This window comes from Homo sapiens, chromosome 17 (assembly GCF_000001405.40).
Source record: "Homo sapiens chromosome 17, GRCh38.p14 Primary Assembly".
Classification (NCBI taxonomy): domain Eukaryota; kingdom Metazoa; phylum Chordata; class Mammalia; order Primates; family Hominidae; genus Homo; species Homo sapiens.
This window is the reverse complement of record NC_000017.11, coordinates 30,144,435-30,163,603: the sequence shown is the minus strand read 5'-3', so window position 1 is coordinate 30,163,603 and position 19,169 is coordinate 30,144,435. Positions and strand designations below refer to the sequence as shown.

The window sequence follows — 19,169 nt, the reverse complement described above, 5'->3', positions numbered from 1 at the left end:
TTCATTGTTCTGTGTAGAGAATAAAAATTATTTAATCAATCTAATATTTGCTTCATTTTGAATAGCAGTCAGATATGACCTAAAAGGGAGACATACAAAAAAATAAAAAATCTTTACCGTTAGCTCAGATAAATCGAAGAGAAAATACATGACTATGTACCTTTGTTGCATCACTATACAAGCTTAAATCGATTACCTCCTGGGCAGTAGTAACCATCAGAAAAGAATTAGGGTCAGGCACAGTGGCTCATGCCTGTAATCCCAGCACTCTGGGAGGCCGAGGAGGGTGGATCGCTTGAGCTCAGTAGTTCGAGACCAGGCTGGCTAACATGGTAAAACCCCGTCTCTACTAAAAACACACACACACACACACACACACACACACACACACACACACACACACACACACACACAAAATTAGCCGGATGTGGTGGTACATGCCTGTAATCCCAGCGCTTTGGGAGGCTGAGGCGGCTGGATCACTTGAGCTCAGGAGTTTGAGATCAGCGTGGCCAACCTGATGAAGCCCCGTCTCTACTAAAAATACAAAAAAAAAATTAGCCAGGCATGGTGGCACGTGCCTGTAATCCCAGCTACTCAGGAGGCTGAGGCAGGAGAATCACTTGAACCCGGGAGGCGGAGGTTGCAGTGAGCTGAGATCGTGCCACTACACTCCAGTCTGGATGACAAAGTGAGACTCCATTTCAAAAAAAAAAGGGAATTAGGTCTGTATTATTGGTACTCCTTCACCAGGAAACAAAATATAGTCTAATGACATTGAAAAAAGTATAGGTACTAGACCATTATTTATATTATTAAATTACCTTCCTTCAATAATAAATTTATTTTAACACAAAAATTTAGTAAAGGGTTCTGAATTTTTTCTTTTTGTAGAAATAATTATTCCATAACTAATAAAGCACAATGGGACATATGAGCTTCTTTCTTAAATAAAAGTTGCACCTACCCAATTATCCAAAATGGCTCTTAGCTAAACAAAAACAGTTCAAGAACCAATCCTTCTTTCAAATGGCTCACAGCTAAAATTTTCTGTCGTGCTGAGAACTTCCTGTTCTTTTTTACTTTTTTAAACTTAGCAACAGATCATTTATTAAAAGTCTTACAACTCAGCAATCTCTATTTGTCCACATTCTCACAACTCTTGTAAGTACAAAGTTTAAGGGCTGTGATGAGTACCCTAACATTTTCATTATGTAATATAAGCTCAGACCTAAGACAAACACTAACTACAACAGAAAAAAATAGACATGGCTGGCTGGGCGCAGTGGCTCACGCCTGTAATCCCAGCACTTTGGGAGGCCAAGGCGGGTGGATCATGAGGTTGGGAGATCAAGACAATCCTGGCTAAAACAGCGAAACCCCATCTCTACTAAAAGTAAAAAAATAAAAAATTAGCCGGGCATGGTGGCACGCGCCTGTAGTCCCAGCTACTTGGGAGGCTGAGGCAGGAGAATCACCTGAACCTGGGAGATGGAGGAGGTTGTAGTGAGCTGAGACTGCGCCACTGCACTCCAGCCTGGGTGACAGAGCAAGACTCCATCTCAAAAAAAAAAAAAAAGACATGGCTATGAAGAGAAAATTTAGAAAAGAGAAAATATACATGACTCTTAACTATATTAAAAATGTTCAATCTTAGCAATAACTAAAGAGGTGAAAATAAAAATATTAACTTTTATCATCTATCATGTTGGTAAATATTTTAAAAATGGTATTACTCAACCCTGGCAAGGTATACTGGCAAGCAAAGACATACTCTTACAACATAAAAATGTGACAGAGAAAATGTTACAGAGAGATCATTTCATCCATGGCTGTGTTTTCAGAATGGTTCTAAATATGAACAAAAGAAAAATTATACTTCCTATCCAAAAGGATCTGAATGTATCATTTTTGACAAGTCTTATTTCAACAGTTCAGCACTGATGACTCAAATCCCATACACAGGACAAGATTCTCATAATCTAACTGTCTTACAATACTGTATCTCATCATAAAAGGAAAATTTTCTGTTTTCCACATTTTTCTTTAATATTCAAATATTTAGGTTTTGAAGAATATGCAAATAAACTAAAAATGTGTTTATATGAAACAATTCCATAGGAAAGCAACAGGGTAAAAATTTTCCCAAAATATGCATTAGATATATTATAAAGCCACATAAATTAAAACAGTATATATAATAGTGCTAATACAGTGCAAAGCAGATCCACAGACAAGAGACAAAAATGAACACAAGCATATATAGAAACCTAGTATAAGAAAGAAGTGACATTTACAATAATTAGAAAAATGACTATTTAAACAGATACCCTAAGCGACCCAGCCATTCCATGCACAGGTATTTACCTAAGAGAAATGAAAGCCTATGTACACATAAAGAATTGTATACAAATGTTTATAGCCAGTTTAGTTGTAATAGCCAAAACCCAGAAACATATATACTTTGTATGGGGGGGTTATCTACTTCTTTCAGCATAATTAGTTTGAGATTAATTCACATCATGTATCAAGTCTGTTCTTTCTTGCCAAGTAGTGTTTCCATTGTATAAACATGGCACAAATTGTTTATCCATTCACCCGTTTATGGTCTTCTCAAAGTAAGGCTGTCTTTTATTCCTGGTTACGCAATGAGAAAAGCCCCTAATCCTAACAAAGCCCCTTAGCAGCTTCTGAAATTTTAGCTTCTCTCAGAAGTGAAGATATTTTAGTTTTAACTTGAATTACCTATAAATTCATTTTCATAATGTATAACAAATCTCCTTGAGAGCACAGATCTGTCTTATGCAGCCTTCTACTTACTACCAGTAGTATCCAGTACAGTGTCTTCTACACACCAGATGATCAAGAATGATGGTTCAAGTGTTTAACAAGAAAACCATTTTACAAAATTATGTTTCTAGACCAACCAAGAACTCAAACAAAAGCAGAAATGAAAAAGGAGACATTACAACTGACACTACAGAAATACAAAAGATCATCAGATACTACTACAAACAACTATACACCAACAAACTGGAAAACCTAAAGGACATGGACAAATTCTTGGACACATAAAACCTACCAAGATTGAATCAGGAAGAAACAGAAAACCTGAACAAACAACGAGTAATGAGATTGAATCAGTAATAAAAAGTCTCCTAAAAAAGAAAAGCTCAGAATCTGATGGCTTCACTGCCAAAGTCTACCAAACTTACAAAGAATACCAATTCTCCTCAAACTATTCCAAAAAATAAAAGAGAAGGGAATTCTTCCTAACTCATTCTGTGAAGCCCTGAAACCAAAACCAGACAAAGGCACAACATTAAAAAACAAAACAAAACAAAACAAAAAAACTACAGGCCATAGTTGAACACAGATGCAAAAGTCTTCAACAAAATACTACCAAACCAAATCCAACAGTACATCAAAAGGACAATATACCACAATCAAGTGGGATTTATCCCTGAGTTGTAAAGATAATTTACCATATGCAAATCAATAAATATGATATATCACATCAACATAATAAAAGACAAAAACCATATGATCATCTCAATTGGGGCAGAAAAAGCATTCAATAAAACTCAACATCCCTTCATGATAAAAATGTTCAACAAACTAGGCACAGAAAAAACATACCTTGGCCGGGCACGATGGCTTACACATATAATCCCAGCACTTTGGGAGGCCAAGGCGAGCAGATCACTTGAGGTCAGGAGTCTGAGACCAGCCTGGCCAACATGGTGAAACGCCATCTCTACTAAAAATACAAAAAACATTAGCCAGACATGGTGGTGCATGCCTGTAGTCCCAGCTACTTGGGAGGCTGAGGCAGGAGAGTCACTTGAACCCAGCAGGCAGAGGTTGCAAAGAGTTGAGGTCGTGCCACTGCATTCCAGCCTGGGCAACAGAGTGAGACTTCATCTCAAAAAATAAATAAACAAATAAATAAAAATAAAAAGAAAGAATATACCTCAACATAATAAAGGCCATATATGACAAACCCATAGCTAACATACTGAACAGAGAAAAGCTGAAAGCTTTTCCTCTAAGAACTGGAACTAGACAAGGATGCCCACTTTCACCACTCTTATTCAACACAATACTGGAAGTCCTGGCCAAAGCAATCAGGTAAGAGAAGGAAATTAAAAGCATCCAAACTGGAAAAGAGGAAGTCAAACTGTCCCTCTCTGCAGATGACATGATCTTATATTTAGAAAAACCAAACGACTACACACACACACAAAAAAAACCTCTTAAAACTAATGAACAAATTCAGTAAAGCTGCAAGACACAAAATCAACATGAAAAATCAGTATAACTTTCAATATACTAGCAACAAACTAGAGGAAAAAGAAATCAAGAAAGCAATCATATTTCCAAAACTAAAAACAAAACCCAAAACCCTAGGAATAAATTTTACCAAGGTGAAAGACCTCTACAAGGAAAACTATAAAACATTGATGAAAGAAATTAAAGAGGACACAAAAAAATGGAAAGACATCCCATGTTCATGGATCGGAAGAATTAATATGGTGAAAATGACCATTCTACCAAAAGCAATCTACAGATTCAACGCAATCTCTACCAAAATACCAATAATATTTTTCACAGAACTAGAACAAACAATTCTAAAATTTGCATGAAACTACAAAGAGCCTGAATAACCAAAGCAAACCTGAGCAAAAAGAACAGCTAGAGGCATCACACTACCTGACTTCAAAATATACCACAAGGCTATCATAACCAAACTAGCATAGTATTAGTATAAAAACAGACACATAGACCAAAATGGAACAGAATAGAGAATCCAGAAATAAATCCACATATTTATATCCAACTGATTTTCAACAAAGGTGTCAAGAACGTATACTGGGGAAAGAATACCCTCTTCAATAAATGGTGCTAGGAGAACTAAATATCCACATGGAGAAGAATAAAACTAAACCCCTGTCTCTCACCATATAAAAAATCAAAACAAAATGGATTACAGACTTAAGATAAGGCCCCAAACTATAAAACTACTAGAAGAAAACACAGGAGAAATGCTCCAGGGACACTGGTTGAGGCAAAGAGTTTATGGCCAAGATCCCAAAAGCACAGGAAACAAAAACAAAGATAGATAAATGGGACTGTATTAAACTAAAACACTTCCGTACAGCAAAGAAAACCCTCAGCAGAAGAGACAACCTGATGAATGAGAGAAAACGTTTACAAAATATTCATCTGACAAGTGACTAATATCCAGAATATAGAAGGAACTCAAAACAACTCAATAGCAAAAAAAAAAAAAAATGCCATTAAAAAGTGGGTGAAGGACATGAAATAGACATTTCTCAAAAGACATACAAATGGCCAACAGGTATATGAAAAAATGCTAATCACTAATCATCAGTGAAATGCAAATCCAAACCATAATAAGATATCTTACCCCAGCTGGAACCTCTATTATTAAAAAGACAGGAAATAACAGATGCTGGTAAGAAAAGGGAACTCTTATACACTGCTGGTGGGAATGTAAATTAGTAAATAAACCAGTATGGAGATTTCTCAAAAAGTAAAATTAGAACTACCATTAAGACCCAGCAATCTCACTATTGGGTATCTATCCAAAGAAGAAATCAGTGTATCAAAAGGACACTCTCATATGTTCACCACAGTATTATTCACAATAGCAAAGATATGGAATCAACCTAAATGCCCAGCAACAGATAAACGGATAAAGTGTGTTAAACAATAGAATACTATTTGGCCATAATGAAATAATGTCATTTGCAGCAACATGGATAGAAATGGAGATCATTATTTTAAGTGAAATAGGCCAGGCATAGAAAGACAAATATTGCATGTCCTCACTCATATGTGGGAGCTAAAAAACTTGATCTCATGGACATAGAGTATAGAACAATAGATAACAGAGACTGGGAAGGGGAGGAGGAGAGGGGATAAAGAGGGGAGAGAGACAAAGACTATAAGAAGTATAGTCACCCTAGTCTGCTATCCAACACTGGAACTTATTTCTTATGTACCCAAACATACAGTTAGATAGAAGAAATAAGTTCCAATGTTTGATAGCAGACTAAGGTGACCATACTTAGCAATAATAATATGTACATTTCAAAGTAATTAGAAGAGAGGGCTTGAAATGATACCAACATATAAAAATGATAAAACATTCTAGGTGATGGATACCCCAATCACCCTGACTTGATCATTACATATTCTTTGCATGTAACAAACACTCACATGTACACCATAAATATGTAAATTATATATCAATAAAAGGGGAAAAAAGTGGGCAATAGAGATTTCTCAAAATACATATGAGTAGCCAACAGGTATATAAAAAAATGCCCAACATCACTAATTATCAGGGAAATGCAAATCCAAACCACAATGATATCATCTTACCCAGTTAGAATAGCTATTATCAAAAAGACAAAAACTAACAGATGCTGGCAAGGATGCAGAGTAAAAGGAGCTCTCATACACTGTAGGTGGGAATGTAACTTAGTACAGCCATTATGGAAAATAGTATGGAGATTTTTCAAAAAATTAAACACAGAACTACCGTAAGATCCAGCAATATCACTACTGGGTATTTATTCAAAGGACAGAAAATCAGTATATCAAAAGGATACATGCACTTTTATGTTTACTGCAGCACTACTCACAACAGCCAAAATATGGAATCAACCTAAGTCTCCATCACATATGAATTGACAAAGAAAATGTGGCATATTTACACAGTGGAGTACCATTTGGCCATAAAAAAGAATGGAATCAGCGGGGCACAGTGGCTCACACCTGTAATCTCAGCACTTTGGGAGGCCGAGGCAGGCAGATCACGTGAGGTCGGGAGTTCGAGACCAGCCTGATCAACATGGAGAAACCCCGTCTCTACTAAAAATATAAAATTAGCTGGGCATAGTGGTGCATACCTGTAATTGCAGCTATTTGGGAGGCTGAGGCAGGAAAATCGCTTGAACCCAGGAGGTGGAGGTTGCGGTGAGCCGAGATTGCACCATTGCACTCCAGCCTGGGCAACAAGAGTGAAACCCCATCTCAAAAAAAAAAAGAAAGAATGGAATCATGTCACTTACAGCAACATGAATGAAACTGAAGGTCATTATCTTTAGTAACATAAGCCAGACACAGAAAGACAACTATCTCATGTACTCACCCATATGTATGAACTAAAAAAATGTATTTCATAGAGGTAGAGAGTAGAATGATAGTGAACAGAGGCTGGGAAGGACTTGGGGGAGGGGAGAGATAAAGAGAGGTTGGTTAATGGGTACTAATAGGTATGAACATACAGTTAGAGGAGTAAGTTCTAATGTCCGATAGTAGAGCAACTTCCTGATGGATTTACTGCAAGGTGTCCTGATAGACAAGGTCAACAGAAACTATTTGAAATAATGTACATGGAAAATATAGTCAAAATAAAAATATTAAGAGATGGGCCGGGCGTGGTGGCTCACGCCTGTAATCCCAGCACTTTGGGAGGCCGAGGCGGGCAGATCGCTTGAGGTTAGCAGTTTGAGACCAGCCTGGGCAACATGGTGAAACCCTGTCTCTACTAAAAGTATAAAAATTAGCCGGGTTTGGTGGTAGGTGCCTGTAATCCCAGCTACTAGGGAGGCTGAGGCACGAGAACTGCTTGAACCTGGGAGGTGGAGGGTGCAGTGAGCCAAGATCGTGCCACTGCACTCCAGCCTGGGTGACAGACTGAGACTCCATCTCAAAAAATAAATAAATAAATAAAATAAAATTAAGAGATGGGTAAATGAATGAATGGATATAGCTGAAAAAATGTTTTAATAAGTTAGAATATTAGGCTAGAAACTCCTAGAACACACATGGAAAGGGTAAAATGCTTAAAAAAAGAAAAAAGCCACACGATGGTGTACGTCTGTAGTCCTAGCTACAGCCAGGAGGCTGAGGCAAGAGGATCACTTGAGCCCAGCAGTTTGAGGCATAGTGCACTATGATCATGAAATGCCACTGCATTTCAGCCTGGGCAATATAGTGAGACCCCATCTCTTAAAAACAAAGCAAAAAAAGGTATAGTGATATGAAAGATATTTATGTAACAGAAGACCCAGAGGAAGACATATAAACTAAACAGATTCAAAGAAATATTTGAATGACTGGTAATTTTCTAGAATTGGAGAAAAATATCATATTGAACAGGTTTTGAATGCAAAAGAGGACAGAGGATAAATAAAACACACACGCCTGCATATACAACAACTAGATACATTATAATGAAATTTAAGGAAATGAAAGACAAAAAGAAAATTCTAAGAGTTTCCAACAAGGAAGAGTAGGTCACCTATAAAGGGGTACAATCGGAATGTCATCAAATACCTCATCAGCAACTTGGGATTTAAGAACAAGTAATCCATATTATGCACCACATGCCCGTACCAAAATATCTCACATATTCCATAAATATATACATTTACTTCATACTCACAAAAATTAAAAAGAAAAAAAAAGGTAGTAAATCTTAATTAACATTACCCAGATGGAGTAACTTTAAAGTGCTGATGGAAAGCACTTTGAACTAAAAAGTATATATCCAGAAAAACTATCATCAAAACTAAAGATGTTTTAAGCACATAAAATCTCAGGTCTGCCTCATAAAAGCCCTCTTTGAAAATAAAGGAAGTACAGGCTGAATATCCCTAATCCAACAATCCCAAATCTAAAACTTTTCCAGTGTCAACAGTATGCTCAAAGAAGCATTTTGGATTTTCGGATTAGGAATGTTCAGCTGTTAAGTATAATACAAATATTCCCAAATCTGAAAAAATCTGAAATCTGAAACACTTCTGGTCCCAAGCATTCATTTCTTTCTTTTTCTTTTCTTCTTTTTTTTTTTTTGAGACAGGGTCTCACTCTGTTGCCCAGGCTGGAGTTCAGTGGCACGATCATGGCTCACAGGAGCCTTGACTTCCCAGGCTCAAGCGATCCTCCTACCTTGGCCTCTGAGTAGCTGGGACTACGGGTATGTACCACTACACACAGGTAATTTTTTAGTGTTTTGTAGAGACAGGGTATCACTGTGTTGCCCAGCTGTTCTTGAACTCCAGGGCTGAAGCAATCCTCTCGCCTCAGCCTCAGAAAGTGCTGGGATTACAGGCGCCAGCCACCACACCTGGCCCCAAGCATTTCAGAAAGGGATACTCAACCTGTACTCCCAATAATAATATTATGAGATACATGAAAGGTAAATATATAACTTAGTAAAACTTAATATATCTTTTTTTTTTTTGAGACAGGGTCTCACTGTGTTGCCCAGGCTGGAATGCAGTGGTACAATCACGACTGACTGCAGCCTCAAGCTCCCAGGCTCAAGCAATTCTCCCGCCTCAGCCTCCCGAGTAGCTGGGACCACAGGCACCTGCCACCACATCTGGCTTATTTTTTTATTTTTTGTAGAGATGGGGTCTCAGTATGTTACCCAGGCTGGTCTTGAACTCCTTCCTGGGTTTAAGCAATCCTCCTGCCTCGGCCTCCCAAAGTGCTGAGATTACAGCACATGTGATAGCCACCACACCTGGCCCTAATATTATCTTTTAAAATAAGACAAAAAACAACCATAACAATCCAGGACGAAATCTAGAGCAGGGCTATACAACTTTCTGAAATGACTAAAATATCTTTTACCTGTGTTGTCCAATATGTTAGCCACCAGTCACACGTGGCTATAGAACACATTAAATGTGGCTAATGTGACTAAGGAACTAATTTTTAAATTTTACTTAAGCTAAAACAGCCTCTAAGACTAAACTGGCTATCATATTAGCACAGATCCAGAGCAGGGGTCAGCAAATTTCCTCAAGGGACAAATGGTGAATACACAGGTTGGTGGACCATGTGGCCTGTTGCATCTAGTCATGTAGCACAAAAGTAGCCACAGACAGACAAATGGCAAGGCTGTGTTCCAATAAAACTTTATTTTAAAAAAGGATGCCAACATGAGACATAGTTTGCCAACACCTCATCTGGATGATATAAACACAGTGGCAAGGCAAGCAGCAGGTGGAAGAGAGGGAGAGAAGACAACCAGAAGGTAGCCAGAGTGTGCCAAGGTATTTATGTTGAAGGCAGTGAGTGATATAAAGATACTTATAACAACAATAAAAGAAACCAAACGTATAAATGTAAGCATAGATTGGTTTGGGATAATGACCAAAATTTTAACTGAAACACAATGAAATGTGTACATTTCAAACTAGGAAAAGAAAATTCAACCTATTAAATGAGAGAGAGAAAAAAAGACAACAAACTCTGGGATTGGATTTTTAAAAGATCTAGAAATAGGAGGTCTACAAAAAGAGCCTAAATACAACAGGATATAAAAATGCCGAAAATAGGCCGGGCACGGTGGCTTATGCCTGTAATCCCAGCACTTTGGGAAGCTGAGGCAGGCAGATTACTTGATGCCAGGAGTTTGAGACCAGCCTGGCCAACACGGCAAAACTCCGTCTCTACTAAAAAAATACAAAAATTAGCAGGGTGTGGTGGTGCACGCCTGTAATCCCAGCTACTGAGGAGAGGTGAGGCATGAGAATCACTTGAACCTGGGAGACAGAGGTTGCAGTGCAGTGAGCTGAGATCATGCCACTATACTCCAGCCTGGGCAACAGAGCAAGGCTCTGTCTCAAAAAAAAAAAAAAAAAAAAAAAGCTGAAAATAAATGAGTGGGAAAAAATACAAAAGGCAAATATGAATCAAAAGCTTGATAGTAATTATAAAATCAGAAAAATAGAATTAAAGAGAAACGTATGTGAAGAACAAAGTAGGTTACCAGATACTGAGGAACAGATCAAGAAGAAATAGCAATCATAAACATTTATGCTTTTAACAATGTATCTTCCAAGTAAATAAAGCAACACCAAGACAATTCAAAGGGGAAAGAACAGTCTATTCAATAAATGGTGCTGGAACAACTAGATATACATATGCAAAAGAATGAAGTTGGGCCCTTACCTTACCCCCTTTGCAAAAAATAACTCAAATGGAGTTAATCTAAACGTTTACATTTAGCTATAAAACTCACAGAAGAAAAAATACAAGTAAATCTTTGTGACCTTGAATTAGACACATGACAAAATCTGTGTAGCTAAAACCAAAAGTCCAAATGACCAAAAAAAAAAAAAAAAAAATTCTTAGGCTGGGCACGGTGGCTCACGCCTGTAATCCTAGCACTTTGGGAGGCTGAGGCGGGCAGATCATGAGGTCAGGAGTTCAAGACCAGCCTGGCGAACAGAATGAAACCCTGTCTCTACTAAAAAGAAAATTAGCTGGGCACAGTGGTGCATGCCTGTAGTCCCAGCTACTCGAGAGACTGAGGCAGGAGAATCGCTTGAACCCGGGAAGCAGAGGTTGCCGTGAGCCGAGATCGCGCCACTGCACTCCAGCCTGGGCAACAGAGACAGACTCTGTTTTAAAAAAAAAAAATTATTTCAAATCTCATCAAAATAAATTGTTGCTTCAAAAGCCATCAAGAAAGTGACAAACACACCAGGTGTGGTGGCTCACGCCTGTAATCCCACCATTTGGGAGACCGAGGCAGGTAGATCACCTGAGGTCAGGAGTTTGAGACCAGCCTGACCAACATGGAGAAACCCTGTATCTACTAAAAATACAAAATTACCCGGGCGTGGTGGCGCATGCCTGTAATCCCAGCTACTTGGGAGAATCACTTGAACCTAGGAGGCGGAGGATGCGGTGAGCTGAGATTGCGCCACTGCACTCCAGCCTAGGTAACAAAAGAAAAACTCTGTCTCAAAAAAAAAAAAAAAAAAAAAAAAAGAAAGTGACAACCCACAGAATGGGAAAAAAATACAGCTGACTCTTGAACAATACAAGTTTGAACTGCATGGGCACACCTATATGTAGATTTTAAGTAAAAGTTACACCCAATGTGCCTGCCTCACCTTTCACCTCCTCCACCTCTTCTGTCTCTGGCACTCAGAAACAGTAAGACCAATCCCTCCTTCTCCTCGGCTAGCTCAATGTGAAGATGATGATGAACAGGAAGACCTTTATGATGATCCACTTCTACTTAATAAATAGGAAATATATTTTATTATATATCTTCCTTATGATTTTCCTAATAACATTTTCTTTTCTCTAGCTTAACTGTAAGAATACAGTATATAATACATATAAAAAGTGTGTTAGCTGTTTATCAACGAGGCTTCTGGTCAACAATAGGCTACTGGTGGTTAAGTTTTGGGGTAGTCAAAAGTTTTCAGCTGCACGGGTGTTGGTAGCTCTAACCCCCCTATCGTTCAAGAATCAACTGTATTTGCAATCATGTATCTGTTATGGAACTTGCAGCCCATAAAGAATTCCTACAATTCAACAATAAAAAGACAAACTAAAAAATGGACAAAGGAGTTGAACACTTTTTTCAAAGAAGAAATACAAATTTATTTCAAAGAAGATATACAAATGGCCAAAAAGCACATGAAAAGGTGCTCAACATCATTAGCCACTGGGGAAATGCAAATCAAAACCACATTGAAATACCACTTCGTACCCAACAGGATGACTAAAATAAAAGAGTCACAAATGCTCATAAAGATGTGGAAACAGCCAAGTGTGGTGGCTCACACCTGTAATCCCAGCATTTTGGGAGGCCGAGGTGAGCAGATCACCTAAGGTCAGGAGTTCAAGACCAGCATGGCCAACACAGCAAAACCCCATCTCTACTAAAAATACAAAAATTAGCCGGGCATGGTGGCGGGCACCTATAATCCCAGCTACTCCAGAGGCTGAGGCAGGAGAATCGCTTGAATCCAGAAGGCGGAGATTGCAGTGAACCGAGATCGCGCCATTGAACTCCAGCCTGGGTGACAGAGCGAGATTCCAAAAAAAAAAAAAAAAAAAAAAAAAACCAACAACAAAAAACGGCTGGGCGCGGTGGCTCATGCCTGTAATCCCAGCACTTTGGGAGGCCGAGGAGGGTGGATCACGAGGTCAGGAGATCGAGACCACGGTGAAACCCCGTCTCTACTAAAAATACAAATAATTAGCCGGGCGTGATGGCGGACGCCTATAGTCCCAGCTACTTGGGAGGCTGAGGCAGGAGAATGGTGTGAACCCAGGAGGTGGAGCTTGCAGTGAGCCGAGATTGCGCCACTGCACTCCAGCCTGGGTGACAGAGCGAGACTCCGTCTCAAAAAAAAAACCACCACATATTGGTCAGGCGCGATGGCTCACACCTGTAATCCCAGCACTTTGGGAGGCCAAGGCAGGCAGATCACAAGGTCAGGAGTTCAAGACCAGCCTGACCAACATGGTGAAACCCCATCTCTACTAAAAATACAAAAATTAGCCAGGCATGGTGGTGCCTGCCTGTAATCCCAGCTACTCAGGAGGCTGAGACAGGAGAACTGCTTGAACCCGGGAGGCAGAGGTTGCAGTAAGCCGAGATTGCGCCACTGCTCTCCAGCCTGGGCGACAGAGCAAGACTTCATCTAAAAAAAGAAAAAAAAAGATCTCTACAACATGTATTACATTATATTATTCCATTTATTTGAAATGTCCCAAATAGGTAAATCTGTAGAGACATAAAGTCAATTAGTGATTGCCAAGGGCAGAGTAGAGGGAAGAATTAGGAGTGACTGCTAATGATCAGGTTTCTCTCTGGGTGATGAAATTCTAAAATAGTGATGATGGCTGCACAATTCTGTGAATATACTAAAAACCACAGAGCTTTTGGTATTTTTTTTTTTTTTTTTTTTGAGACAGGGTCTTGCTCTGTCACTCAGGCTGGAGTATAGTGGCTTGACCATGGCTCACTGCAGCCTTGACCTCCTGGGCTCAAGTGATGCTCCTGCCTCAGCCTCCTGTGTGGCTAGGACCACAGGCATGTGCCACAAGCATGCCTAACTAATTTTTAAAATTTTTTGCAGAGACAGGGTCTCACCATGTTTCCCCCGCTAGTCTTGAACTCCTGGGCTCAAGCAATCCTCCTGCCTCAGCCTCCCAAAGGGCTGGGATTACAGGCCACTGCACCTGGCTTTGCTATGTGAACTTTATCTCAATAAAGTTGTTTAAATAAATGAATAAATAAAAAGCATCAACTCTCAGAAATATAAGGACAGCAACCATTTTAGATGGCAATCTTACTCCTCTATGATAACAAATAGATCAAGAATAAAAATAAACATCAGATAATCTTATGTTCTTTGGTCATAACACAATAAAACATAAGAATAAAAACAGCAGCCAGGTGCAGTAGCTCAAACCTGTAATCCCAACACTCTGGGAGGCCAAGGTTGGAGGATCACTCGAGACCAAGAGTTCAAGACAAGCCCGGACAACACAGCAAGACCCCATCTCTATTTTTTTAAGTAAAAATTAAATAAAAGAATAGAAACGGCAATAAAAATATCCTTGAGAAAACCAAACCTGTATGTCAAAACTAAAAGCTATACCTGTAAGTCTTCAGGTTAAACAAATCATAAAGGAAATTACAAAATATTTATAAATGTATAACACTGAAAACACTACATGCCAAAACTTGTGAGATACAGCTAAAATAGTACTCAAAAAGAAACTTAGGAAGATTGACAAAATAACCCAGGGAAGCAATAAACATATGGGCAGAAATTAGAGAATAAATCAACAAAATATAGATGAACAAAATCAAAGGCTAGTTATTTCAAAAGATTTTATAAGATAGACAAACTTTTGGCAAGATTAATCAAGAAAAGTAAAGAGATGCAAGTAACAGTAGATGAAAGATTTAAAAAACACTATCGTGAACAATTAAATCTGAAAACCTGGGCAGAACAGATACATATTCCAAAAACTGTAAATCAGCCAATCCACAGCCCAAACTTAGAACCATCTCCTCTGGCCCCTACAAGCCAGGAAGCAATAGTCCTCTGCCTTCATTGCCCAGGGCCAGATACAAAAAAACTGGTGATCACCGCTACAGCCCAGAGGCAACTGACAAGATTCAAACTAGCCAATCCTAAACTGTTTCCCTTCCTTTCCCATGAAAAATACAATAAAGACTCTGAACCAGGCTTTTCCTGATCCAAACTGGTTCTTCCCTATGTAGCCCTGAATGAAATGGCATGTCTTCTCCTGTCAGTAAATGTACATAACAATAATCTTCTTTTAAAGGGCATTAGTCTCAATATGTCATTTGTCACCTCCATAAATTAAAATCCTACAGACATTTTTAGACAATAAACAAAGCCTTTCCCACTTATAGACATAGATGTTTGAAAACCCTAAATCAAGTTTTAGTGAATTGAGTTTACTAGCATATTAAAAATAATACATCCTGCTCAAAAGGATTTAAGCCAGAAATTCAAGAATGGTTTAACATTTAAAAATGTATCAATCTAATAAACCATATTAATGAACCACAGGAGAAAAATGACTTAACTAGCTCAATAAATTCAGGAAGGCATTTAGTACCTATTTGTGATTTATAAAAAATTGTCAGGCTAGGCACAGTGACTCACGCCTGTAATCCTAACACTTTGGGAGGCTGAGGCGGGCTGATTACTTGAGGTCAGGAGTTCGCAAGATGAGCCTGGCCAACATGGGGAAACCCCAACTCTACCAAAAATACAAAAAATTAGCTGGGCATGGTAGCACATGCCTGCAATCCCAGCTACTCGGGAGGCTGGGACAGGAGAATTGCTTGAACCCGGGAAGCAGAGGTTGCAGGGAGCTGAGGTTGCGCCATTGCACTCCAGCCAGGGGGACAAGAGCGAAACTCCGTCTCAAAAAAAAAAAAAAAGTTGGTCAGTGATGAATAGAAGAGTTCCTTAACTTAAAAAAGTCTGGCCGGGGCTGGGCGCACTGGCTCACACCTGTAATCCCAGCACTTTAGGAGGCTGAGGCGGGCAGATCACGACATCAGGAGATTGAGACCATCATGGCTAACATGGTGAAACCCCGTCTCTACTAAAAATATAAAAAATTAGCCGGGCGTGGTGGCGGGCGCCTGTAGTCCCAGCTACTCAGGAGGCTGAGGCAGGAGAATGGCGTGAACCTGGGAGGCGGGGCTTGCAGTGAGCCGAGATTGGCCACTGCGCTCCAGCCTGGGCAACAGAGCGAGACTCCATCTCAAACAAAACAAAACAAAACAAACAAAACCAACCAACCAAACAAACAAAAGTCTGGCCGAGTGCAGTGGCTCACACCTGTAATCCCAGCACTTTAGGAGGCCAAGGTGGGCAGATCTCCTGAGGTCAGGAGTTCAAGACCAGCCTAGCCAACATGGTGAAACCCCGTGTCTACTAAAAATACAAAAATTAGCTGGGGCATGGTGGCGGAGGCCTGTAATCCCAGCTACTTGGGAGGCTGAGGCAGCATAATCACTTGAACCCAGGAGGTGGAGGCTGCAGTGAGCCGAGATCGCACCATTGCATTCCATCCTGGGCAATAAGAGCAAAATTCCGTCTCAAAAAAAAAAAAAGAAAAGAAAAGAAAAAGAAAAAGTCTATATACCAAAAGCCAATAACAAAAATCAAACTTAATGGAAAAACTTCAGAAGCTTAGGATATCACTTAGGATAGACAGGTCAGAATGCCCACTAAGGACATTTTTCAACATACTACTGAAAACTTGTCTAATAAAGTAAAACAGGAAAAAGAGGTATAAGGACTAGAAGAGATGAAGCAGATGGTTTAAACAAACTATTACAGTAAATCTGATTAGGCTCAGGTGTGGTGGCTTGCGCCTGTAATCCCAACACCTTGTGAGGCCCAGGTGGGCAGACTGCTTGAGGCCAGCCTGGCCAACAGGGCAAAACTCCATCTCTACTAAAAATACAAAAATTAGCTGGGCATGGTGCTGCACGCCTCTAAATCCCAGCTACTCGGGAGGCAGAGGTGGCAGTGAGCCAAGATTGCGCCACTGTACTCCAGCCTGGGGGACAGAGCAAGACTCTTAAAAATATATATATTCCTGAAAATATGGTACCACTCACAATAGCTACAAAATGTAGGAAGTATCTAGAAATTAAACTGCAGATAAGGCACAGGACATTAATGGGGTAAAAAATTACCTCATAAAGTCTAGGAGGGGTGTGGTGGCTCACACCTGTAATCCCAACACTTTGGGAGGCCAATGTGGGAGGACTACTTGAGCCCAGGAGTTTGAGACCAGCATGGGCAAGATAGCAAGACCCTGTTTCTATTTAAAATTTAAAAAGTCTAAATGAAGGAAGAACTATACCACACTTACATGTAGTTCCTTAAAGACTAATATAACTTATAAATCCAAGGCAGTTCTAATACAAATCTCAGAAGAGTTTTAATTTTGAAGGAATTTCACAAACTTTATCTATATAACAATAAAAGTCCACAAATAGTTTGATCAAGTTTGAAAAAGAAGTGTAGAGTAGGGGGCTCACTCAACTAGATATACTAAGCTACAATAATTTAAAAAACGATATTTTGGCCAAGCACAGTGGCTCACACATGTAATCCCAGCACTTTGAAAGGCCAAGGAAAGAGAACTGCTTGAGGCTAGGAGTTCGAGATCAGCATCAGTAACACGGCAGAACTCCAACTTTACAAAAATACAAAAATTAGCTGGGCATGGTGGCATGCACCTGCAGTCCTAGCTACTCGGAAGACAAAAGTGGGGGAATTGCTTGAGCCCCGTACATCGAGGCTGCAGTGAGCCATGGTCATGCCTCTGCACTCAAGCCTGAGGAACAGTGTGGGTCCTTGTCTAAAACAAAACAAACTATGTTTTGGCACAGCAACATATAAAAATAAAACAGGAAAGCTTAGCAGCAGATTCACGGATATACGGAAATACAACATAATGAAGATGACCCACAAATCAGGAAAAAATGTATCCACTATTTGTGGATGGTACTGTAAAAATTGTCTCCAAAAAAAAAAGTAAATAAATAAACGGCTGATGAGAAAAACAACAGTGGCCACCAATGAAAATGTAAACTGATAAAGCCATTTCAGAAAGTGATTTATCAGTACTTAGTGAAATAATTTTTTTTGAGATGGAGTCTCGCTCTGTTGCCAGGATGGAGTGCAGTGGCGTGATCTCGGCTCGCTGCAACCTCCACCTCCCGGATTCAAGCGATTCTCCTGCCTCAGTCTCCCAAGTAGCTGGGACTACAGGAGCACGCCACCACGTCCAGCTAATTTTTGTATATTTAGTAGAGATGGGGTTTCACCATGTTGGCCAGAATGGTCTCAACCTCTTGACCTCGTGATCCGCCCACCTTGGCCTCCCAAAGTGCTGGGATTAGAGAGGTGTGAGCCACTGCGCCCGGCCTTAGTGCAATAATTTATATACATACCCTATGATCTAGAAATCCCACCCCTGAATATATATCCCCATAAAAACTTTCACAAGGGTTTCTACTGGGACATGTATGAGAATTTTTTAAAATAATATCACTGTGGTAGCAGGGAACTGAAGGTAACTTAAGTGTTTATCTCAGAAGGAATGGGATAGATAAAATACAGTAGACGTATATGCTGTAGTTAAAAACAATTAACTAGGTATACATACTGTAACACAGTGTTGACTAAAAAAATGAGATAATGCAGTAACATTTATGTTTACAAAATCATATGTACTCAAAACAAAATATAATTTAAAAGTATACACAGATATCCAGGTAGCACATATGTCAAACACATCAGCACATATATCAAACACGGATATCCAAGCAGCACATATATATATTTAAAGGGGAATGAGAGGGGATCAGAAGAGGAAAATTAATAAAGAAGAAAAGAGCTTTGTGCAGGCTAGGCTGATGATAGGAGTGTGCGCCTTGAAATGAGGAGCATGACTAACAATTCTCCGAACATGTTTCAAAAAAGAAGTGTATTGTATGCATAGGCATAACAGTTCTTTCCTTTGTAAAAGAGATGTCGTACTTCCAGAAAGACAGATATATCTATATAGACATAGGGATGTGTGTGTCTATACATATACATACACATACAGTTGCAAATACACATATAAATGTCATGAAGGATGCAGTTCGAAAATAATCTTATGTTGCCGGGCACAGTGGCCTCACTCCTGTAATCTCAGCACTTTGGGAGGCCGAGGTGGGCAGATCACCTGAGGTCAGGAGTTTGAGACCAGCCTGACCAACATGGAGAAACCATGTCTCTACTAAAAAT

The 19,169-nt window shown here is 39.5% G+C and overlaps 1 protein-coding gene across 8 annotated transcripts in view; it reads right to left on the bottom strand.

Annotated features, from left to right (window-relative positions):
* NSRP1 (nuclear speckle splicing regulatory protein 1) overlaps nt 1-19,169 on the bottom strand; it is a 69,660-nt gene that overhangs the window by 22,872 nt on the left and 27,619 nt on the right. The window contains exon 1 of one of the 8 annotated variants that reach the window (XM_047436920.1): nt 6,942-6,966. The exons of 6 other annotated variants lie outside the window; for them this stretch is intronic. The gene's annotated coding sequence lies outside the window, so the exon portion shown is untranslated. Of the gene's footprint in view, nt 1-441; nt 6,649-6,941; nt 6,967-19,169 lie in introns of those variants that run through there. One more of the 8 variants, XM_047436919.1, reaches the window with a different exon arrangement.